The following is a 24110-nucleotide window of genomic DNA, read 5'->3' on the forward strand; positions in this document are numbered from 1 at the left end:
TCTTGAAGGCTTATTACCTCTGAGAAGTTTTCCTTGATATACCTAAGCTGAAATTAGTACTTTTCTTCTGCATTCCAGAACACATATTCATATGCTGTTTAGATATACAACTTATCTCACTGCTGTAATTAGCTTTTATGTCTGTTTCATCTAAACACCACACACATAGCTCATGGTGAGTGTTGAATTCATCTTGATGTCCCCAGCATTTTACGTGGTACCTACGCACAGGCACTTGGAAAACATGCTGGATAGACAGATGGCCTGCTTAACTAAATGAAATGATTGATCCAAACAGTATTTTAGAAGAAGTGCAGTTTTCAACATTTCAAGTGTACAGAGTAGGTCCACTCGCCTACAAAGTGTTGCCAAGTGGAAGCCACTGTCAGAAATGTATTAATGACAGACAAGTCTTAGGTATGATTGGCATCCTCATTTATGTGAAGAAATGAAGCCAAAGGAAAGCACCCTTAGACCAACCTTCTTCCCTCCCCAACCACATGGAAAGAACTTGCATGCTAATGGTCAAAAGTTGGAGCTGGGAGTCAGAGATTCCTGGTAGAATTTCAGCATTACCATCTAGAAACAGTGAAACTTCAGGCAACTTACTTAATCTCTCTAAATCTGATCATCTTGTTTGTAAAATAAGCTTGATAATAGTACTTAATGAGAAAAAATATGTAAAGCATTTGGTATAGTATCTGGCACACAGTAAGCACTCATCACATATTGATAATTCTGGTAGGATGGTATTTTGAGATATTCACATTTTTTCTCCCTTCATTTTCCCCTTTCTTTCTACATCTCACAAAATTCAAAGAGCTAGCCTTTTGTTCACTGTCTCAGGGGAGGCATTACAACATGGTAGAAAGAAGACAAGCTTGTAAGTTTTCTGCCTTTTATTTCCGAAAGTCCTGGAGAGGTTGAGAAGATTCAAGTACAAAGTATCATGGCCAAAAATGAGGAGAATTTCCCCAAGATAAAAACAAAATATCTGCAGGCTGAAGATGAAGAACAGGAGGTCTACAAATAGGTCTGTATTTCTAGGAAAAGAGGAAACTTAGGCTTTGCTTCCTGAGCAGAGACTGGTAGAAAGGTGCAAGTCCAGTGAAGGAATAACTACATGGTGTGTTGGGGCAAACAGGGACAGAGGCAACCTCACAAGAATTTCCATACTCAAGTGCTTCATGAAACAGCAGGATTCCTGTGCTTCTGGGGTATCATGTAAGCAAAAGACAACATTTAGACCTAAAGGAGCCATGCTTTATTAGTTACATATTCTGTATAACAAATTACCACTTGAAAACTTAGTTAAAACAACAAACATTATCTCACATAGTTTCTGTTGGTAGGGAATTCAGGAGCTTCTTAGCTAGGTTGTTGTGGCTCAGTCTCTCATGAGGTTGTAGTCAAAATATCAGCCCTGGCTGCAGTCATATGAAGGCCTGACTAGGGCTAGAGAACCCACTTCTAAGATGGCTCATTCACATAGCTGGCAAGTTGGTGCTGGCTCTTGGTAGGAGGCTTCAGTTTCTCACCATGTGGATCTCTCCATAGGAATGCTTGAGTATCCTCATGAAAAGTAGCTGGCTTCACTCAGGGAGAGACATCCAAGAGAACAAGTCAGACATCACCGTGTCTTTTCGGATCTAGTGTCACAAGTCACACACCATCACTTCCCTGAATTTTATCACAAAGACCAACCTTGGTATGACATGGGAGGACACAACACAAGGGTGTGAATATCAGGAGGTGAGAATCACTGGGGGCTATCTTGGAAGGCACCACACATGACAAATGGGGTGGCAATTGTCTCAGTTGTACTGCTTAATTAGCTGAACAAGATGCCATAATAATACCTGACAGCTTGGCCAGGTGTAAGGGACCAGAACCTAGAATAACTGGGGGAGGACAGAGGCATAAAGGATTGCTCTTTTTTTTGTCAGTCAGGTGGGATTATAGGCACAAAACAGAATTTAAACAATTAGAGAAAGTAATGTAGTACTTATTGCACATTTTAGTTTATGAATAATAGTAGCAATTATCATTATTATTATAAATGAAGGAGTAACTGTATTGTTGCATCATTTTTCCCAAGTGGTTCAGGGTGACTCCAGTTCCACTAGGTCAGTAATTCTCAATCTTGCAAATATAATAGAATCAACTGGGAATAGCTTCTGATTTAATTGATTTGGAGCAGGGCCATGGAGCTTCCGATTTAACTGATTTGGAGCAGGGCCTGGGCATCAGTATTTTTTTAAGCCCCATAGTTGATTCTAATACGTAACCAAGACTGAGATCCAATGCTTTATGCAAATTCAAGACCTTCTTGCTACTTCAACCATCTATGATTCTATCAGGAGCTTGCCATATAGGAAGCTGGCTAATTCTCCCTATTAACTGCCTGGGATTGTTTTCTTCATAAACACTGGAAACACTTGTCAGTAACAGTCTACTTGAGAGAGCAGAGCAAAGGTTAAAGTTTGCTAAAAACAAACAAAACAGAACCAAGGGGATCTCAGTTGGCATTGTATTCTCTAACATAATGCAACTCTGCCTCTTGTCCCTATCATCTTCAGCAACTAGTCAACATTTAAGCCTTGCGCATCAACAATAATCTCATAATCTCTCTCCCACACACGCACACCTCCATGCTTCCTCCTCTTTTATTGCATTCTTATTTGACTTCTTTAAGGTATCCGACACTTAAAATATATTTATCTCCCTGGACTTACAAGACCTATCTCTAGTTCTTTCCCTACTTCTCTGACAACTTCTTATTGTCCTTTGCTAGCTTCTCTTTCTCTACCTGCCTCTTAAATGATAGTGTTCTCTAAGATTCTGTTCCTTGTTCTCTTTTGATCCCATTCTATATTGTTTTCCTTGGGCAAAACTCACTCCCAGCAGTTCCATCTACCATCTATTTACTGACAACTCCAAGATCTTTATTTTCCAGTCCATACTTTTCTTGTGTTCCAGACCTGCATTTGTAGTTTCCTGTTAATTAAGCTACCTCAAACCCTGAATGCTCCTTCAGGTTCTCCACGCCACCTCTCGAACTGCTTCTCCTCCTTTAATTCATATCTGAATAGCACAATACTTCTTATTTTTTAACCTGATGGTTTTATTTGCTTGTTTTTTCCCCCAGCTTTATAGAGATATAATTGACAAAAATTGTATATATTCAAAGTGTACAATGTGATGTTTTGATATATGTATACATTGTGAAATAATTTCCACAATCAAGCTAATTAACATATCCATATAAGCATATGGAGAGATCTACTCTCTTAGCAGGCACCATGCTTCTAATCATTTAAGGTAGAAACCAGGAATCACCCCAGAACAGAGGTGCAACCTGCTTATTTACTAAACTTGTTTTTATTTGGTCCAGGAAGTACTTTTAAAAACTTTGGGCCAATATTTAAGATTTGGGAGATTTCACATAAGAATACAGGTTTAGGCTTCTCTTTAAAAAACAGAAGATGATGAGGCAACACTTCATCCTACCTGCATGGAACAACTGGCTGGAGATGAGCAGCAGATGAGCTCCTGGTTCATGTAGTCTTCACAGTGACCATAAAGGATGCTGAAGCTCCTTTCATTCATTTATATACACTTGCCTGGCTCTTGAATATATCTCAGATTGTGACTTCTCTCCTTACTCATACCTCTCACCATAGCTCCCTCTACAATTGATTAGGAAGCCCTACAGATTCTAGCACTTCTCTAATCTGTCTTCCTCCTCTTCATCTTGATTGCTACGTTCTTAGTTCAGGATCTTGACTTTGCTTATATGGAGTATGTAACAGTCTACTTCTAGCTCCGTCATTAATCCATTGCTTATAAACCAGTAAAATGAAGTGATGTTATTATCCTGCCTAAAGGCCTTCACTGGTTCTCTACTACCTACAAGATAAAGTTCAAATTCCTCTAGTACATGGTACCAGGCCATCCATGCCCTGACCCCTGCCCACCACTCCAGCCTTATCTCACTTCATTCCCACAGTAGGTAGTCTATGCTTTACCCCTGCCAAACAATTCTGCTAACCAGGTGGATTATTTCAAATCTCTGAATCATGTTGCTCTTTATGCCTTAAAAAATATCTTAATGCTACCTACCACCCACTTGGCCCACACAACCACATTCTTAACTTCAGAGATTTGGTTCAAGTGTTACTTTCTCTTTAAAGACTTTTCTACCTCATTCCCAATCTCATAGGTAAAAAGACCATTACACTCCCACCTCCATCCCCGACCCCGACCCCCGTCCCCTCTAAGACTGCTATCCTGGCGACTATAACATATTATTGTATCTACTTGTTACTTGTTTGTATTCCTTTCTATTAGAAGGCAAATTCCTTAAAAGTAGTGGCTATCCCTTATATATCCTTATATTTCTAGATCCATGCTTAGCGCATATAGCTGCTTAATAAATATTGCCTGAACGAATTAAGGATTACTTCAAATGATTACTTACAAGTCAGTTGTTGTCTTAAATAGGTTGATCATCTTTCTGTAATCATGTTTATACTATATCACGGATCTGCTTTTACTCAGGGATTATGCAAGGGTAAACATTTTAGCTCAGTTCAAGCAAATTAACTCAATTTTTGAAACAGTAGGAGTTCAGATCGATGACATATATTTTATTTGTGTTAACAATGTTTCACCAGTTTTATTCTTTTTTTTTTTTTTTTGAGATGGAGTATTGCTCTGTCGCCCAGGCTGGAGTGCAGTGGCACGATCTCGGCTCACTGCAAGCTCCACCTCCCGGGTTCACACCATTCTCCTGCCTCAGTCTCGGGAGTAGCTGGGACTACAGGCACACACTGCCACGCCCGGCTAATTTTTTGTATTTTTAGTAGAGACGGGGTTTCACCATGTTAGCCAGGATGATCTCGATCTCCTGACCTTGTGATCTGCCGGCCTCAGCCTCCCAAAGTGCTGGGATTATAGGCGTGAGCCACCATGCCCGGCCTTACCAGTTTTATTCTTAAGAAAGATATCACATATTGCCCCTAATACCTGGGGGCAATATGATTGATAAATAATTTTATAATTTAGGCTATTATACCATATGTAGGAGACATATCAGTGTGACTTATGGGTATGGCTTATAAATAACACTAGGTCAGAGCTGTCAATTCTCTTAATGAAGAAAAGAATACAACAGAACTTGGCTGGGCACAATGGCTCACACCTGTAATCCCAGCACTTTGGGAGGCTGAGGCGGGTGGATCGCCTGAGTTCAGGAGTTTGAGACCAGCCTGGCCAAAATGCTGAAACCCCATCTCTACTAAAAATACAAAAATTAGCAGGGTATGGTGGCAGGTGCCCGTAATCCCAGCTACTCAGGAGGCTGAAGCAGGAGAATCGCTAACCCAGGAGGCAGAGGTTGCAGTGAGCTGAGATCGCGCCATTGCATCCCAGCCTGGGCGACAGAGCGAGACTTCTTCTCAAAAATAAATAAATAAATAAATAAATAAATAATAAAAAATATAAAAATTATATATATATATATATAGAGAGAGAGAGAGAGAACCTAATATGTGCTGGCACTGTTTTAAACTCTAGGGATGCTGCTGCCTTTCTAAACAGGCCGAGGGGATGAGGGAAGCGAGTACAATATACCAGCCTGGAAAACATGAAAGGGAGCCCAGGGCTGATTATGTAGCATGTCAAAACAAATGTCATTTTGCTGAGGAATTGGACAATTTTTTTTTCACCAGTACCAACCCATATGTGGCGGCCCTGCTCATGAAGTTTAAATTTCAGTGTGTCTGTAGGGGTGAGGTAAAGGGCAGGTCAGCAGGCAACCAAAAAATAAGTAGTTGTCCAGGGATCAGTGAGTCCCCTAAGAAAAATAAGACAGGGAAGAGATATTAGGAGTACCGGGGGACAGAGGTACAATTTTAAATTGGGTGATAAGGCAAAGCCTCACTGAGCAGGTGGCATTTAAGCAAAGAGCCGAAGGAGGGGAGGAAATGAGCATGTGGATACCTGATGGAAGAGCATTCCACAGAGAAAACAAACAGCAAATGCAGACAGAGGTCCAGGGGTGGGCATATGCTGGAGCTTGCATGGAAAAGCAGGGAAGCCAGTGGTTAGTGGGCAGAGCAAGGGAGTGGAGAGCAGAACAGCCAACAGTAGATTCAATTACTGAGGAAATCTAGGAAAAGAAAGTGGCTGGGTCAGAATATGTAGGGTAGTGTTTCTCTAGGCTAACAGACCCAGTGCCCCTTTTATATAATAAATATTTTATACTTTTCCCTTCATATGCTGAAATTAAATTTATGGATATTATAACTATATACAAAACTAACTTCAAAATAACTAATATAATGCTAAACCTGTAATATAAATGAGAAATGCATGAAAGCAATTTATAATAATATATATTTTAATATGTAAATGTGCAGACATGAACACCATAAAAGATATAATGAAATAGGTGTTTACACCTTTATGTAGAATCACATAAATGTGGTAGCTACAAATGCAGACTGATAGAGGAATGTTGACTTCTTGTCTCAAATGCCATGAATAGTGAAGCTGATGCTGTCTCTGACATGTTTTTCCAGAATAGCAAACCTCTGACAAAATTCTGAACAAAATACCATTTTGTTCTCAACTTACATCACAGTTACATTTCTGGAAAATCAAGTGTACATTAAAACTATGCTAAAAATATTTTGTGTTTATATATATGTAATTAGTTTCTAGGCTCAGATATTTATAAACAGGTTTTTCACCTTCAAGAATATCCAACGGGCTATTCAAAGGTCATGCAGAAGGCACATGAGAGAACTTTTTGTGGTGATGGGAATGTTTTATGCCTTGATTATTGTGGTGGTTACACAGATATATAAATGTGTCAAACATCAAATTGTACACTTAAAATGGGTACATTTTACTTTTGATAAACCATACCTCAAAAATGGATTATTATTATTATCATTATTTTTTGAGACAGAGTTTTGCTCTTGTTGTCCAGGCTGGAATGCAATGGCATGATCTCGGCTCACTGCAACCTCCACCTCCTGGGTTCAAGCGATTCTCTCCTGCCTCAGCCTCCCCGAGTAGCTGGGACTACAGGCACGCACCACCACGCCCATTTAATTTTTTTTTGTATTTTTAGTAGAGACGAGGGTTCACCACGTTGGCCAGGCTTGTCTCGAACTCTTGACCTCAGGTGATCTGCCCGCCTTGGCCTCCCAAAGTGCTGGGATTACAGTGTGAGCCACCACGCCTGGCCAAAAATGGATTTTTTAAAAAACTCATACGGGAGGATGAGGGACAATTCTTTATAGTGAGGGAGTATGTATAATGGTCTAGCAGCCCAGACCCCCACATACTCAATGCTACCACTTAATTATGGTACAACCAAAAATACTCCCACAAATTTCCAAAACATACCTTAGCAATACCACTTCTACTGAGAATATTGCACGCCATGTCTTAGTGAGATGGGAAGCCAACTGGAGGGTTCTGAGCCAAGAAGTGAGGTGACCTGACATGTTTTAAAAGGACTGCTTTAACTCTTTCAGGCAGAGGCAGGAAAGGGCTGATGCAGAGAGACCAATCAGAAGGCTATCATGAAAGGCAGGTGAGAGATGATATTGGCTTGGACAAAGGCAGTTGCAGTGGTCATCATGAGACATATCAGAAAAGAACTTCAGAAGTTTCGAGTCCCAAAAGACATGTTGGAAACAGAAAGAGTTCAAAAAATGTGTATTAGATTACAAGAAGTAAATAGCAGTAATTTTCAAGATTCTCAACAATCCTCACGTAACACTACTTCATTATTAAATGAAATTAAATGAAATTAAAAAACACTTTGGGATTCTAGCTGTGTCATTTTACATCCAAATATAATGAAACGTTATTTTCTGGAAAAATGAGATTCAGCAAAAATGTCCTTTTGAAAAATGTTACCATAGGCCGGGCATGGTGGCTCACGCCTGTAATCCCAGAACTTTGGGAGGCCAAGGTGGGTGGATCACCTGAGGTCAGGAGTTTGAGACCAACATGGTGAAACCCTGTCTCTACTGAAAATACAAAAATTAGCTGGGCATGGGGGTGAGCGCCTGTAATCCCAGCTACTTGGGAGGCCGAGGCAGAAGAATCACTTTAACCCTGGAGGTGGAGCTTGCAGTGAGCCGAGATCGCACCACTGCACTCCAGCCTGGGTGACAATAGTGAAACTCTGTCTCAAAAAAAAAAAAAAAGTTACCATAGAAAAGTATACTTCCCACACTAAAATTTAAATTTAATAAGCAGGGTTGCAACATAGGAAGGTTCTGGTGAAACACTTCATCTTGGCTGTTTCTGTGATAATTTAGCTCTTGCAATACCTTGAGTTCAGTGTAATGAATATCAGTTCCTCATTTGAGTTTTTCAAAGTGTAGAAGTTCAGAAAATTATGCTGGATTTGTTTTAAGACTAGAACCTATTACGTTGAATTTTTTTAAGCTCCGAGATGGCAGATAATTTCTTCCAATTTGTCCTGTTCTCTTAAAATTGGAGGATAGTTAATTGAGGGTTTCAGTTAGTTAACCTCAGGTGAACTAAAGTTCTATGTTTAGTACTTCAAATCCTTCCTTTAAAAATGTCAAAAGTATTTATGTATGTATAAAATGATTTCTGAGGTTTGCTTTAAAATAATCCAGCGGGGAGAGAGTGGAAGGGATTTAGATGAAACCAGATTGATGCTGTATCGATAATTATCAAAGGGTGTTCATTTTACGATTCTCTTTACTTTTACACATTTGACATTTTCCATAACAAAAAGTTTTGTTTTGTTGTTGTTGTTGTTGTTGTTGTTTTGAGACAGGGTCTCACTCTGTTGCCCAGGCTGGAGTGCAGTGGCGTGATCAAGGCTCACCACAGACTCAACCTCCCCAGGCTCAGGCGATCCTCCTACCGCAGCCTCCCAAGTAGCTGGACTATGGGCGCATGCCACCAAGCCCAGCTAATTTTTTGTAGATATGGGGTTTCACCATGTTGCCCAGGCTGGTCTCGAACTCCTAGACTCAAGCGATCCGCATGCCTCAGCCTCCCAAAGTGCTGAAATTACAGGCGTGAGCCACCATGCCTGGCCTTCACATTCTTTAAAAGTTTTTCTTTTTCTTTTTTTTTTTATAATTAGTGTATTTTACTTTAGCTATTTTGTTCACTGAAAATATATGTAGAAATTGTGGCCAGGCACAGTGGCTCACACTTGTAATCCCAGCACTTTGGGAGGCTGAGGCAGTTGGATTACTTGAGCCTAGGAGTTCGAGGCCAGCCTGGGCAACATGATGAAACCCTGTCTCTACAAAAATACACAAAAAATTAGCTGGGCTTGGTGGCATGTGCCTATAGTCTCAACTACTTGGGAGGTTGAGGCTGGAGGATTGCCTGAGCTTGGGAGGTTGAGGCTGAGGTGAGCCAAGATCGCATTACTGCACTCCAGCCTGGCTGGCAGAGTATGACCCTGTCTCAAAAAAAAAAAAAAAAAAAAAAATTAAATGCAAGTTCTGAGATTTAGTATTTTTTGAGTATTACTATGTACCAGACTTTTACTATGAACTTGGGAGAGATTTATTAGCTACAGGGATAGATCTCTACATTAAGGAGCTCATAACCTAGATATATAAACAAACCAGTATAAGGCAATGTAAGGACTAAAATATTGTGTTAAATGTATAAAGTGTTACAGGAGGAAAGAAAGAGAGAAATAGGCAAAGGGCTGAGTAGACATTCCTCCAAAGATATACAAATAGCCAAGAAGCACATCAAAAGATGCTCAACATCATTAATCATTAGGAAAATGCATATCAAAACCATAATGAGGTACCACTTCGTACCCAGTAGGATGGCCAAAAATTTTTTAAAGGAAAATAACAAGTGTTGGCAAGGATGAGAATAAATTAGAACCCTTGTACAATTTCTGGTGAGAATGTAAAATGCAGCTTCTGTAGAAAACAGTTTGGTTCTCCACAGAAAACCATGATCATAGGAACACTATTCACAACTCCTCAAAAGTGAACACTGCCCAAAAGTCCATCAATGGATGAAAGAATAAACAAAATGTAGTATATACTTATAATGCAATATTATTCAGCTTTAAAAAGGCAGAAAATCCTTTCATACGCTATAACATGGATGAACCTTCAAGACATTACACTAAATGAAATTAGCCAGTCACAAAAAGACAAATAAATGTGAGCCCACCTGTATGAGGTATCTAAAATAGTTATATTCATAGAAACAAAGTAGAATGGTAGTTACTGGGAGCTAGAAGGACAGGGAAATCAAGGAACATTGTTTAATGAGTATACATATTCAGTTTTGCAAGATGAAAAGTTTCTGGAGATCTGTTGCACAACAATGCAAATATATTTAACACTAATGAACACTTAAAAATGGTTAAGATAGTAAATTTTGTTATGTGATTTTACCAGAATTTTTTTAAAGGCAAGATACTACTCAGCATAAAGTTATACATGCACTGGAACAATAAAAATTCTAAATACAAGATAATGGTTATTTCTGGGGAGAGAAAGGAAGGACTCTATAGGCATCTCAACTCTATCCATACTGTTTTCTTACTGAAAATCTGAGGCAAATATGAAAATATTAAGATTTGAAACAAAACATTATGCAAGTGAAAGAAGCCAGACACAAGAGGCCACATACTATTATATATGATTCCATTTTTATATGAAATATACAGAATAGGTAAATCCATATAGACAGAATGCAGATTGGTGATTGCCAGGATGTTAGGGGAGGAAGGAGTAGGGAGTAACTGTTTAATGGGAATAGGGCTTTCTTTTGGGGACACGAAAATGTCTTAGAACTAGATAGATGTGGTAGTTGCACAATATTGTGAATGTACTAAATGCCACTGAATTGTTAACTTTAAAATGATTAATTACATATTATATAAATTTCACTTCAATTAAAACAAACTAAGGAAAGGGAGAATTTCAAGAAGGAATGGTATTCACTGAAAAGGGTCAAATGCTGCACAAGGGTTAAGAAGGATGTACACTAAGAGGTCATGAGATTTGGCAAGTAGGAAGTCCTTTAGGAGATATGTGCCAGTAGTCAGACTGTTGTGGGTTGCATGAGATGGGCAGTAGTTTGTGGGAGTCTTGAGCATTTTGTAGGATAAGGAGAGTCACTGAAGGGGAAAAGACTGACAATAAAGGAGAGGAGATATTTGTACAGCAAGAGTAGGAAGAGACATAAAAGGGTAGAGAGGGTCAACAGAATCCTAATAGTGGAGAGAAATGAGTAAGTTATAGGGGTAAATTTGTGATTTCCCAATTTCACTTGGAAAGGAGAAACTGAGTTAAAACTTGATAACTCCATTTTTCTAAGAATGAAGAAGCAGGGTGTAGGGCTTGAAGCGAGTGATAAAGCCATGGGAGCTGACCAAAAATGGACAAAAGGGCTGTCTGAGCAGCTTTGAGGGCTTTAGTAGAAATCATAAATATCTCCCTCGCACACACAAACCCACAATTAAAAAGTTCAACTGTTAAAGGTATTGCATGATTAATAGTATGTCTCACAAATTGCTCATTAGAAATAAAACCACTGCCTAGACTCATCTGTATGACACATGATACTGGATTTGTGAAATATTATGAATATACTTAAAAATAGTATTCATGTAACACAACAGAAAGATCACTCAGTGAGAACTACAGAAAGATAGCAAATTGAAATCTACTGAAGAAATATTAAATACCAAACATTCAGCTAGAAAAAGAAATGAAATATCTCTAGGAGACAACTTACTACTGAAGAAAGATATAAATAAATATTTCACCAGAATTTTGAAATAATGGAACTATTTAAAAATTGACAAGGAAAGGGCAGTTGATGATTGCCTTGATAAATTACATAGTTAATTTCTTTGAAAAAAAAAAAAAAAAGGATATGCCCTAAAGTTTAAAATAAACTATTTTAAAAGTATACTTTTAAAAAGTAACTGGTAGAGCATATTAAATGGAAATTAAAAACAATTTTAAAACCATAAAATGCTTGCTAATTGAAAACTAAGACTAATCGTAACTAGCTATTAACAGTAAATACCTTTTAACAAATTTTCAACTACTGAGCCAGGTGCAGTGGCTCATGCCTGTCATCTCAGCACTTTGGGAGGCCAAGGCAGGCAGATTGCTTGAGCTCAGGAGTTTGAAGCCAGCCTAGGCAACGTGGCGAAACTCTCTACAAAAAATACAAAAATTAGCTGGGTGTGGTGGCGTGTGCCTGTGGTCTTGGATACTCGGGAGGCTGAGGTGGGTGGATCACTTGAGTCCCAGAGGTCAAGGCTGCAGTGAGCCATGACTGTGTCACTGCATTCCAACCTGGGTGACAGAGTGAGAGACCCTGTCTTAAAACAAAACAAAAACCAAAGTTTCAACTACTGAATGAACTTGAATATAACTAAAAAATCGGCAGGCGCCTGTAGTCCCAGCTACTCGGGAGGCTGAGGCAGGAGAATGGCGTGAACCCGGGAGGCAGAGCTTGCAGTGAGCCGAGATCATGCCACTGCACTCCAGCCTGGGTGACAGAGTGAGACTCCATCTCAAAATAAATAAATAAATAAAAGAAATGTGATATTCACTGACAAGGTAAGGTAACCATCAAATGATGACATATAATATGCACATTAGGTGCCTTCTAGAATTCTATGGGCATTAGAAGATTTTTGCATAATATTACAGCAATTCTTGGAAATGAAATTTCCCTCTATAGATTTTAGTTTAGACTTGTATAGCTGCTAACGACACCAATTATTTGTTTGACTATAGGCTAAATAACAGAGTTGAAAGAAATCTCTGCTTTCTAGTTGCCAACACAGAAACATGAAGTGCAAGATTTTCACAGAATAGTGAATATGATAAAAATATAAAATCATGGAACTTTAAATATACTTTTTTAACTGCAGTACAATATATCTAACATAAAATTTATCATTTTAACCATTTTTAAGTGTATAGCTCAGTAACATTAAGTACATTCACATTGTTGTGCAACCATCACCACTAACCATTTTTTATCATCTCAAACTATATATTTTATTTATTTATATTGTGGTGAAAAACACATACATTTGCCATCTTAACCATTTTTAAGTGTATAGTTTACTAGTATTAAGTATACCTGTATTGATTCACATTGTTGTGAAACAGATCTCCAGAACGTTTTTATCTTGCAAATCTGAAAATCTATGCCCATTAAACTCCCCTTTTCCCTTCTGCCCCCAACCCCTGGTAACCACCATTCTATTTTGTTTCTATGAGTTTAACTACTTTAGATACCTCAAATAAGTGGAAGCACATTTTTTTTAATCTAAAATTATTAGTGGTCACTGAAGAAAAGGGATTTTTTGCTTGTTTTGTTTTGCTGATAGTTTGGCCTGACCTCAATCAATAAAGTGAATGAATTTTATATGGCACAATTATATTTCATAAGCCTTGTTAATGATCCATTCTTGAATACAGAAACCAAATGTCATCATGTTGAAAAACGACTAATTAGATGGTCAGGTAGTATTTGACTTTGAAGTTATTTATAAAATTTTAATTTTTCTTTGAATGTTAAATGAAACAGCATAAGAAGTATGAGATAGAAAGGTCAGAGAACAGGGTGGATTTAATGACTGTATTCTCTTGCAGTTAGCATTAATTATTACTGTATGTAGCCTTTGTTGTGTAACACTCTTAAGTTTTCATTGAGTGGAGAATTATCTGGGTTTTAGTTCTAGTTCTGCCATCTATGTGATCTTGGGCAAATAATTTAATTTCTCTAAAGTTATGCATTATTATCCTTACTAGTATTCTAATGCATATATAAAGAATATAGGGTCGGGTGCGGTGGCTCATGCCTGTAATCCCAACACTTCGGGAAGTTGAGGCAGGTGGATCACCTAAGGTCAGGAGTTAGAGACCAGCCTGGCCAACATGCTGAAACCCCGTCTCTACCAAAAAAAGAAAAGAAAAAAAAATTAGCCAGGCATGGCAGTGCACACCTATAATCCCAGCTACTTGGGAGGCTGAGGCAGGAGAATCACTTGAACCCTGGAGGTGGAGGTTACAGTGAGCCAAGATTATACTACTGTACTCCAGCCTGGGGACAAAGAGAGACTCCTTCTCAAAAAAAAAAAAAAAAAAATATATATATATATATATATAAAATAATACCTGACCTACCTACTTAAGGGTAGAGTTATAAGGATAAACAGGATGTGATATATGAAAAAGCTCTGACATATTAAGCTTTGAAATACACATTGAATATTAGAGAGATTTCATCCCTTCCAAACTTCTCTTCATTTTTATGTGTCTTCTGAAAATTTTATGTTACCGTAGGAAACTAAAAAGTTATGCTCCCTTACTGCCAGTTTCCTATTTATTAGATGACACATTTCAACAAAAAACTCAGATTAAAAAATGGTCAACATTTGCTGTGACTATGGCTAGAAAGAAGGAATAAATAGGATACCAGGATAAACAAGAATTTCCCTAGCTTCTCATTCACTCTCTCATAACCTCCCACCCAAAAGTCTATCTTAAATATAGTTTCAGAGTATGGAGAGGACTGAGGAATGCAGAATGAAATGACAGGTTAATATTAGAAATGCCATTGTGGGAGACTCTCAGGAATGATTTCAACCTTCACCTGCAGTTTCACTTAAATCACACCAGGTATAGAATCATTGTGACTCAGTGGTTTATGCAACAATCTGGAAACTCAGGACCTGTAAGCTTTGGCCATGTGTCTGACATTTGTTTTCCACAAGTAAGCTAATCATGTTCACTCACTGTGCTTCATTTAGCTTTTATCTATTAATGAAGAAAATGATATGAAATTACTTCCCAGGGTTGTAAAAAAAAAAAAAAGAACAGAACTCACAAAGAGCTATAAAATGCTGTGAAAGCCATAACAAAGGTAGCTTGTATGAGTATAGATGTGAAAACACCCCAAAAGTTAAAATTTCCACACATTTAAAGCATTAATTTTACCTGAGCTAAGGGAAAAAAAAGGTAATATGAACATGAAACAAGTAGATCATCCTGAAACCTCTTTTGGATTATTAGTTTTAAATTCCTTCCCACTCAGACCTTCACAAAAGTAGTAAGAAGAGAGATTTTTTTAAAAATGAAATTTAGCTTTCTTCTCATTCCTCCTGTATTTACCCAGAGTGATGTAGCTAGTGAGTAGGAAAAGGGCCTAAAGAGATGAGGAAGGAGGTAAAAAAGCACAAGACCCAGAAATCATTAACGGTCTTTAACCAGTTATTATTTTGTGTTTTGTTTTTCTTTTCTTTTTGAGACAGAGTCTTGCTTTGTTGCCTAGGGTGGAATTCAGTGGCATCAGAGTTCACTGCAGCCTCAACCTCAACCTCCGAGGTTCAAGCAATCCTCCCACCTCAGCCTCCCAAGTAGCTGGGACTACAGGTATGCACCACCACGCCTGGGTAATTTAAAAATTTTTTTTGTAGAGACTGGGTCTCACTGTGTTGCCTAGGCTGTTCTCAAACTCCTGGGCTCAAGCAATTCTCCTGTCTCAGCCTCCCACAGTGCTGGGATTGCAGGTGTGAGCCGTTGCGCCTGGCCTATTTTGTGTTTTCTATGAGTAAGTATATAGTACACCACTGCTGAAACATTATCTCATTAAGCCAGCACCAGGTGGCTTTCCTAAAAGAGGAAACTGATGCTTAGACAGCTTAAGTGACTTACCCTGAACAAGAAATGGAACAGGTTTTTGAACCTTCATTTCTCTGACTTCAGAGCCCACGCTCTTTATTACTGCCCTATTCTGTTTCAAGAAAAGCAAAATTTACTTATGGAATAAATGTCAACTGAACCTCTCCTAAAAGTTTATCGGAAGTCAGGTTACTCTGGAGATTCTCCCCATCTCCCCCATGGCCATATGGGTTATGTTGTGACATACCCACATATTGCTGCATGTCTGCTTAATGTTCTTTTCTTTCCTTTAAAAGTTTATTTTATTTTACTTTATAGATACGGGGTTTCGCCATGTTGGCCAGGCTGGTCTCGAACTCCTGGCCTCAAGTGATGTGCTCGCCTCAGCCTCCCGAAATGCTGGGCTTACAGGCGTGAGCCACTGAGTGCATCCTAATGTTCTCTTCCTAATCAGATTCTTTATACTTTCTACTCTCTCTCAAGGCTTCAAATCGCTAATTCTACCCCATGGCATACATTCAGCTTCTGCCCTTGCTGCATAATGACTTACTCTTTCTAGGTTTCCAAATTCAGATTCCTAAGAGTGAGAACTGATTGGCCCAGACCATCTTCTTATACCAGGACATAGGTTGCTGGCCAGTCTGTATGGGCTGATTAACTTCTCAACTGCCCAAACACGTGGCTGTGACAGAGGATAGGCAGAGCAGTAAATTTCCCTGAGACTATAGTATAGGTAGGTGAGCTTTCTAAAGCTGGACCTACCATGTGCCATTTTTAAAAATCTCCCAAACAAGATCTGCCTCCTTCCACCCAGCTTTTTTTTCTGAGACAGGGTCTTGCTCTGTTGCCCAAGCTAGAGTGCAGCGGTACAATCATGGCTCACTCCAGCTTGGAACTCCGGGGCTTAAGCAATCCTCCTGCCTCAGCCTCCCGACTAGCTGGGATTACAGGCACACATCACCACGCCTGGGTAATTTTTGTATTTTTAGTAGAGACAGGGTTTCATCGTGTTGGCCAGGCTGGTCTCGAACTCCTGACCTCAAGTGATCTGCCCGCCTTGGCCTCCCAAAGTGTTGGGATTACAGGCGTGAGCCAGGGCACCCAGCCTGCATTTCTTACTTTTTATTTTATTTTTTTTGAGACGGAGTCTTGCTCTGTCACTCAGGCTGGAGTGCAGTGGCGTGATCTCAGCTCACTGCAAGCTCTGCCTCCTGGGTTCACGCCATTCTCCTGCCTCAGCCTCCGGAGTAGCTGGGACTACAGGCTCCAGCCACCACGCCCGGCTAATTATTCGTATTTTTTTTTTTTAAGTAGAGACGGGGTTTCACCGTGTTAGCCAGGATGGTCTCGATCTCCTGACCTCGTGATCTGCCCGCCTTGGCCTCCCAAAGTGCTGGGATTACATGCGTGAGCCACCGTGCCCGGCCACTTCTTACTTTTATTTTTGTTGTTTCATGTATTGGCTCCTAATATCTCTCATTCCCTTCTCTCTCATTCACAATTTATCAGAAAAGTACCAGATTACTATTTTCCTCATTTCCATAATTTTGCTTCTATCCTCAGAAACCTCTTGTGGCTCCCATGCCTACAGTATCAACATTCTCCAGAGCCTAGTCTACTTTGGAGCTTTCACATCTATACAAATGTTCTACTTCAAACTTCTGCTTTGCTGTCTTCATGCTTATCACTTCTCTTGCCTGGGCGTTCTACTTCCTGTTCAAACCTAATTTAACTTACCCTTTAAGGTCTACCTCTGTGACCACCCCATGCTGACAGCCCGGTCCACAATTCTCTCTCCTCAGAACTGTTAAATCACTTATTATCTGTATCACTCTTTCACATTTATTAACTTAAAGTAACTAAGAGTTTATTGTTTTTCCTGTCTCCTGAACTAAGATATTCATTCCTTAGGAGTAGGAGCCATCTCTATAACATTTTTGTATCTGACACACACAGCATAAACCCTCATATGTTGATATGTTAAAAAGCCATATGTAGATTGAAACAAGACCTAAATGTATTGAAAAGAAGAAAAAGCCACTTTGAGAGGCCGAGGTGGGTGGATCACGAGGTCAGGAGATCGAGACCATCCTGGCTAACATGGTGAAACCCTGTCTCTACTAAAAATACAAAAAAATTAGTCAGGCATGGGGGCGGGCGCCTGTAGTCCAAGCTACTCGGGAGGCTGAGGCAGGAGAATGGCATGGAACCCGGGAGGTGGAGCTTGCAGTGAGCCGAGATCACGCCACTGCACTCCAGCCTGGGCGACAGAGTGAGACTTTGTCTCAAAAAAAAAAAAAAAAAGAAGAAGAAGAAGAAGAAGAAGAAAAAGCTAGCAAGGTACCAAGGAAAGCACTGCTAAGCCTTTCCAAAGAACTGAAATCCTGGCGGGGCTTGGTGGTTCACGCCTGTAATCCCAGCACTTTGGGAGGCCGAGGTGGGTTAATCATTTGAGGTCAGGGGTTCGAGACTAGCCTGGCCAACGTTGTGAAACCCCATCTCTACTAAAAATTCAAAAAAATTAGCCGGGCGTGGTGGCAGGCACCTGTAAGCCCAGCTACTGGGAGGCTGAGGCAGGAGAATCACTTGAACCAGGAGGCTCAGGTTGCAGTGAGCCGAGATCGCGCCACTGCACTCCAGCCTGTGCGACTAAGGAAGACTCCATCTCAAAAAAGAAAAAAAAAGAAAAAAAAGAATTGAAATCCTTGGAGATAGTTTACATAAATTTTCCCAAACCTAGCAGTAGATGCCAAAGGTAGCCGCTGAGAACTCAAGAAACTCTCAAGTGTTGCAAGAAAGAGAGAGAAGCTTGCCAATAAGACGAAACATTTTAAAAAAGACTAAAAACACCAGCCAAAATGGGACTCAATACCTTAAACAAGTAACACTTCTTACCCAACACTATACCAAACCGTACTAGACTGTTACACAACTTGTTCAGCATATCTTCTTTACCGATCATTGTCTGGTTGGTACATTCTTTTGAACCATCAAAAGCAGAGGCACTTCTGATCATCCTTCCATTTCTCTTCCTACAGTCGAATTTCTCTCCCATTTCTGAGGGGAAAGGGCCATCTACAATAAGCATGATCAAGCCCTGATTCTGGCATTTCCTCACATCCCGTGAAACTCAGTCTCAGTATCTGGTTAAAGTAAAATACTGCGGGCCCTTTTTTCAAATAAAGTTTACCTTAGAAATTAAACTATTCCTCTAAGTGAATTTTTGAAATACAGAGCAAAACTGTATCTCTTTGCATGCACACACATATATAAATGCATAGGAAAAAATTTGGAAGGGCATAACTTGAAGTGCATTTTTTTCTTTTTTCTTTTTTTTGTTTTTTTGTTTTTGTTTTGTTTTGTTTTGTTTTTTATTGATCATTCTTGGGTGTTTCTCACAGAGGGGGATTTGGCAGGGTCATAGGACAATAGTGGAGGGAAGGTCAGCAGATAAACAAGTGAACAAAGGTCTTTGGTTTTCCTAGGCAGAGGACCCTGCGGCCTTCCGCAGCGTTTGTGTCCCTGGGTACTTGAGATTAGGGAGTGGTGATGACTCTTAATGAGCATGCTGCCTTCAAGCATCTGTTTAACAAAGCACATCTTGCACCGCCCTTCATCCATTTAACTCTGAGTGGACACAGCACATGTTTCAGAGAGCACAGGGTTGGGGGTAAGGTCACAGATCAACAGGATCCCAAGGCAGAAGAATTTTTCTTAGTACAGAACAAAATGAAAAGTCTCCCATGTCTACTTCTACACAGACACGGCAACCATCCGACTTCTCAATCTTTTCCCCACCTTTCCCCCCTTTCTATTCCACAAAGCCGCCATTGTCATCCTGGCCGTTCTCAATGAGCTGCTGGGCACACCTCCCAGACGGGGTGGTGGCCGGGCAGAGGGGCTCCTCACTTCCCAGTAGGGGCGGCCGGGCAGAGGCGCCCCTCACCTCCCGGAAGGGACGGCTGGCCGGGCGGGGGGCCGACCCCCCCACCTCCCACCCGGACGGGGCGGCTGGCCAGGCAGAGGGGCTCCCCACCTCCCAGTAGGGGCGGCCGGGCAGAGGCGCCCCTCACCTCCCGGACGGGACGGCTGGCCGGGCGGGGGGCTGACCCCCCCACCTCCCTCCCGGACGGGGCGGCTGGCCGGGCAGGGGGCTGACCCCCCCACCTCCCTCCCGGACTGGGCGGCTGGCCGGGCGGGGGGCTGACCCCCCCCACCTCCCTCCCGGACTGGGCGGCTGGCCGGGCGGGGGGCTGACCCCCCCACCTCCCTCCCGGACGGGGCGGCTGGCCGGGCAGAGGGACTCCTCACTTCCCAGTAGGGGCGGCCGGGCAGAGGCGCCCCTCACCTCCTGGACGGGGCGGCTGGCGGGCGGGGGGCTGACCCCCCCACCTCCCTCCCGGACGGGGCGACTGGCCGGGCGGGTCTGACCCCCCCACCTCCCTCCGGACGGGGCGACTGGCCTGGCCGGCGGCTGACCCCCCCACCTCCCTCCCGGACGGGGCGGCTGGCCTGGCGGGGGGCTGACCCCCCCCACCTCCCTCCGGGACAGGGTGGCTGCCAGGCGGAGACGCTCCTCACTTCCCAGACGGGGTGGCTGCCGGGCGGAGGGTCTCCTCACTTCTCAGACGGGGCAGCCGGGCAGAGACGCTCCTCACCTCCCAGACGGGGTGGCAGCCGGGCAGGGGCGCTCCTCACATCCCAGACGGGGCGGCGGGGCAGAGGCGCTCCCCACATCCCAGACGATGGGCGGCCGGGCAGAGACGCTCCTCACTTCCTAGATGTGATGGCGGCCGGAAGAGGCGCTCCTCACTTCCCAGATGGGATGGCGGCCGGGCAGAGAGGCTCCTCACTTCCTAGATGTGATGGCGGCCAGGCAGAGACGCTCCTCACTTCCCAGACGGGGTGGCGGCCGGGCAGAGGCTGCAATCTCGGCACTTTGGGAGGCCAAGGCAGGCGGCTGGAAGGTGGAGGTTGTAGCGAGCCGAGATCACGCCACTGCACTCCAGCCTGGGCACCATTGAGCACTGAGTGAACCAGACTCCGTCTGCAATCCCGGCACCTCGGGAGGCCGAGGCTGGCGGATCACTCGCGGTTAGGAGCTGGAGACCAGCCCGGCCAACACAGCGAAACCCCGTTTCCACCAAAAAAATACGAAAACCAGTCAGGCGTGGCGGCGCGCGCCTGCAATTGCAGGCACTCCGCAGGCGGAGGCAGGAGAATCAGGCAGGGAGGCTCTTTTTTTTTTTTAGAGACAGAGTTTCGCTCTTGTTGCCCAGGCTGGAGTGCAATGGCGTGATCTCGCTCAATGCAACCTCCGCCTCCTGGGTTCAAGCAATTCTCCTGCCTCAGCCTCCTGACTAGCTGGGATTACAGGCATGCGTCACCACGCCCGGCTAATTTTTTGTATTTTTAGTAAAGACGGGGTTGGTTTCACCATATTGGCCAGGCTGGTCTTGAACTCCTGACCTCAGGTGATCCGCCCGCCTCGGCCTCCCAAAGGGTTGGGATTACAGGTGTGAACCATCGCGCCTGGCCTTTTTATTTTTATTTTTTGAGACAGACTCTCGCTCTTTCACCCAGGCTGGAGTGTGGTGGCACGACCTCGGCTCACTGCAATCTCCGCCTCTCAGGTTCAGGCGATTCTTCTGCCTCAGCCTCTGGAGTACCTGGGACTACAGGCGTGCACCACCACACCCGGCTTTGTATTTTTAGCAGAGACAGGGTTTCACCATATCGGCCAGGTTGGTCTCGAACTCCTGACCTCAAGTGATCCACCCAACTCGGCCTCCCGAAGTGCTAGGATTACAGGTGTGAGCCACTGCACCTGGTCTGAAGTGCATATTTCTGGAGTGGATGTATTAGTTGGATTATTTTAACAGAAATATTTTCCTTTTTTTGAAGAAGTAAATAAACTATATCCTGTTACACCTATTTTCTTTTCTTTTTTTTTTTTTTGAGACAGGGCCTCACTCCCGTCGCCCAGGTTGGGGTGCAATGGTGTGATCACAGCTCACTGCAACCTCCGCCTCCCGGGTTCAGGTGATCCTCCCATCTCGGCCTCCCAAAGTGCTGGGATTACAGGCGTGAGCCACCGCGCCCGGCCTACACCTATTTTCTTCAATGAGTTTTTCACTAAATTCCATAGTGCTCCTAACTTTCATCTGAGAAAGTATTCTACCACTGATATTTCCTATTATAACCAAATTCGCTGACCAATCTGCTCTGTAAAAAAAGGTTTGTGGGTATAAATGACGAAAGTCAGTTCATGGATCAAATCCTTCAGTTCTGTCACATTGTGAGAGGCCACTGTTGTGAAAGTAAAATAACTTCTAGTTACGGCTCTGCTAAGAATACGCTGGGGGATGTCAGGAAGTCGCTTTATTTGTAAAATGATGAGTTAGACCAGAATATATTCTCTGATAGAAGTTTACAAAGATGAATAAAGATTTATAGGCTAGGCGCGGTGGCTCACGCCTAAAATCCCAACACTTTCGGAAGCTGAGGATCCCTAGTGCACAGGAATTCGAGATCAGCCTGGGCAACCTGGTGAGACCCCCTTCTCTACCAAAAATAAATAAATAAATAAATAATAAATTTTTAAAATGTATTAGCTGGGCTTGGTGACGTAGTGAGGCAGGAGGATGCCTTGAGCCCAGGAGTTCAAGGCTGCAGCGAGCCGTGATCATAGCACTGCACTTTGGCATGGGAGATAGAGCAAGACCTTAGCTCTAAAAAAAAAAAAAAAAAAAAATTAATAGATTTATAAAGTCCATTCTATGGAGGAAAGTCTCTTATTCAGTTATGAACTGCTGCGAACCTAAAGGCAGGAAGGCAAATTCCCTTCAGTTCGGCAAACACGAAGACCCCACATTCGCGTCGTCTGTGAAGAAGGCACTCCGAACCTCAGGCGCTCACTCGCCAGGTTTAAGAGGATGAGCAAAGAATAAAAGTCCTCTCACCCAGGAAGCGTTTCGCTTCCCTTAGCTGGAGCCACGCTCCAAGGTGCCAAAGCCTAATTGCTGTCCACTCTCACCAATCCGTTAGCAAGATGAGCATCTACCTGCTGCGAACGTGGCGGTGACACTACTACAGCTCCCAGCCTGCCTCCCGCCCGCCCCCACTCCTGGACTCCACAGACCGTGACTTGTAGTCCCAGCCCACGGCTGGCGGCGGTGCGGGACTCCTGAAAACTGCTTTTCCTCCCTAGTAGGCGGTGAGACCGCAAATTCCATCAGAATCCTACTCTGACCCACTAGGGCTTGGCCCGCTCAGAGTCGCATTCCCTCCTCCAAATGAACCAACTCTCCTCCCAGCGATACTCCGACCTCTGAGCACCCCGGGCGGGGCCACGCCCCGGAAATGGAGTCAGGTCTCCAGGCCGCCCGCTGAAGTGCCTTCCAGCCACTCCAAGCGGGGCTGGGGCCGGCGGGGCGGGCTTGGGGGCGTGGCCGGGAGGCGGGCGGGGATGCATCTGCGGGCGCAGCGCTTGGGGCGGAGCCGCAGCGCGAGGCCGCGCATCTGGGTGGCGGCGGGGACGCGCCCGTGGGGAGAGGCGGCTGCGGCTGCGGCTGCGGCTGCTGGCGGGGGGTGGGGGGGAGGAGGAACCGGGAAGGGGGGGCAGGGCGAGCGGAGAGCTAGCTGTGTTCCTGAGGCGGCGGCGGCGGCGGCGGCGGCGGCGGCGTCTCCGACGGAGGAGGAGGGCGGGGAAGGAGGATGGAGCAAGCTGGGGGTTGGGGTTGGCGCTAGCGCAGCGGCTCGCCTGGTACTGTGGGAGAGCGGCGGCTGCTCCTGGAAGTTGTGGTGTCGGGAGCCCAGCCGGTGCCGCCGCAGCCGCCGCCTAGGGCGGTGGGGAGGAGGAGGGAGCCGCGGGGCTTGGCGGGGTCGGGAGGGAGGGACGTGCTGGGGGAACGAGCTGGGGAAGACGGAGCGGGCTCTGTGCCGGGCGGGCGGGCGGCGGGGGGGCCAGCGACCGCAGCCGGGGGGACGCGGGAGGATGGAGCAAGTGGAGATCCTGAGGAAATTCATCCAGAGGGTCCAGGCCATGAAGAGTCCTGACCACAATGGGGAGGACAACTTCGCCCGGGACTTCATGGTGAGTCTCTCCCCTCGCTGTCGCGTTTTCTTGCCGGCGCCGGAGCCCATCGCCGCCTCTCCCGGCCGGGCCGCCAGTGCTTTGTGTACCTCTGTGAGGAGAGGGGCGGAGGGGGCGCGCACCAGCCGGGTGAGCCGGGTGGTCTCGGAGGCCAGCGGGAGGCGAGAGCGCCTCCCCCCGTGGCCTCCTTTCTTCTCCCATGTTCGCGACCCCCGCGCGGGTTCCCGGGACGCGAAGGGAGCGGCCGCGCGGCCGAGCCCGCAGCCTGCACCGTGGCTCGCGACCACCTATTGTTTACCGGGCCG

General features: G+C 43.9%; 1 protein-coding gene and 1 long non-coding RNA gene across 5 annotated transcripts in view, besides 7 other annotated features; one reads left to right on the top strand and one right to left on the bottom strand.

Moving 5' to 3' along the window:
- Window positions 1-1241: 1241 nt before the first annotated feature.
- On the bottom strand, window positions 1242-23109 carry LOC124901681 (uncharacterized). Of its 3 annotated transcripts, XR_007060395.1 has the most exons (3): window positions 22531-23109; window positions 20369-22441; window positions 1242-1590 (listed from the first exon to the last, which is right to left on the bottom strand). It is a non-coding gene; the product is annotated as an uncharacterized LOC124901681 (long non-coding RNA). The 3 variants fall into 3 exon arrangements; XR_007060394.1 differs by lacking the exon at window positions 22531-23109 and having other exon boundaries at window positions 20369-22444; XR_007060396.1 differs by lacking the exons at window positions 20369-22441; window positions 22531-23109 and adding an exon at window positions 6004-8849.
- Window positions 11734-12235: an enhancer, noted in NCBI's record as "H3K4me1 hESC enhancer chr7:77154891-77155392 (GRCh37/hg19 assembly coordinates)". NCBI's record gives its function as "activates a minimal SCP1, AML or CMV promoter by ChIP-STARR-seq in primed H9 embryonic stem cells {active_cell/tissue: H9 hESC(primed)}" and the evidence as "EXISTENCE:reporter gene assay evidence [ECO:0000049][PMID:30033119]".
- Window positions 12236-12735: an enhancer, noted in NCBI's record as "H3K4me1 hESC enhancer chr7:77155393-77155892 (GRCh37/hg19 assembly coordinates)". NCBI's record gives its function as "activates a minimal SCP1, AML or CMV promoter by ChIP-STARR-seq in primed H9 embryonic stem cells {active_cell/tissue: H9 hESC(primed)}" and the evidence as "EXISTENCE:reporter gene assay evidence [ECO:0000049][PMID:30033119]".
- Window positions 22535-22584: an enhancer, noted in NCBI's record as "active region_26205". NCBI's record gives its function as "activates an Ori minimal core promoter by ATAC-STARR-seq in GM12878 lymphoblastoid cells {active_cell/tissue: GM12878}" and the evidence as "EXISTENCE:reporter gene assay evidence [ECO:0000049][PMID:35858748]".
- Window positions 22755-22974: an enhancer, noted in NCBI's record as "active region_26206". NCBI's record gives its function as "activates an Ori minimal core promoter by ATAC-STARR-seq in GM12878 lymphoblastoid cells {active_cell/tissue: GM12878}" and the evidence as "EXISTENCE:reporter gene assay evidence [ECO:0000049][PMID:35858748]".
- Window positions 23045-23344: a silencer, noted in NCBI's record as "silent region_18324". NCBI's record gives its function as "represses an Ori minimal core promoter by ATAC-STARR-seq in GM12878 lymphoblastoid cells {active_cell/tissue: GM12878}" and the evidence as "EXISTENCE:reporter gene assay evidence [ECO:0000049][PMID:35858748]".
- The window catches only part of PTPN12 (protein tyrosine phosphatase non-receptor type 12), a 102775-nt gene continuing 102119 nt past the window's right edge, over window positions 23455-24110 (top strand). For both annotated transcript variants that reach the window (NM_002835.4, XM_006716073.5), the window contains exon 1: window positions 23455-23805. In NM_002835.4, coding sequence (NP_002826.3) covers window positions 23707-23805 — 99 coding nt within the window. In that variant the 5' untranslated portion in view covers window positions 23455-23706. The remainder of the gene's footprint in view (window positions 23806-24110) is intronic.
- Window positions 23595-23804: a silencer, noted in NCBI's record as "silent region_18325". NCBI's record gives its function as "represses an Ori minimal core promoter by ATAC-STARR-seq in GM12878 lymphoblastoid cells {active_cell/tissue: GM12878}" and the evidence as "EXISTENCE:reporter gene assay evidence [ECO:0000049][PMID:35858748]".
- Window positions 23945-23994: a silencer, noted in NCBI's record as "silent region_18326". NCBI's record gives its function as "represses an Ori minimal core promoter by ATAC-STARR-seq in GM12878 lymphoblastoid cells {active_cell/tissue: GM12878}" and the evidence as "EXISTENCE:reporter gene assay evidence [ECO:0000049][PMID:35858748]".

This window comes from Homo sapiens, chromosome 7 (assembly GCF_000001405.40).
Source record: "Homo sapiens chromosome 7, GRCh38.p14 Primary Assembly".
Taxonomy (NCBI): domain Eukaryota; kingdom Metazoa; phylum Chordata; class Mammalia; order Primates; family Hominidae; genus Homo; species Homo sapiens.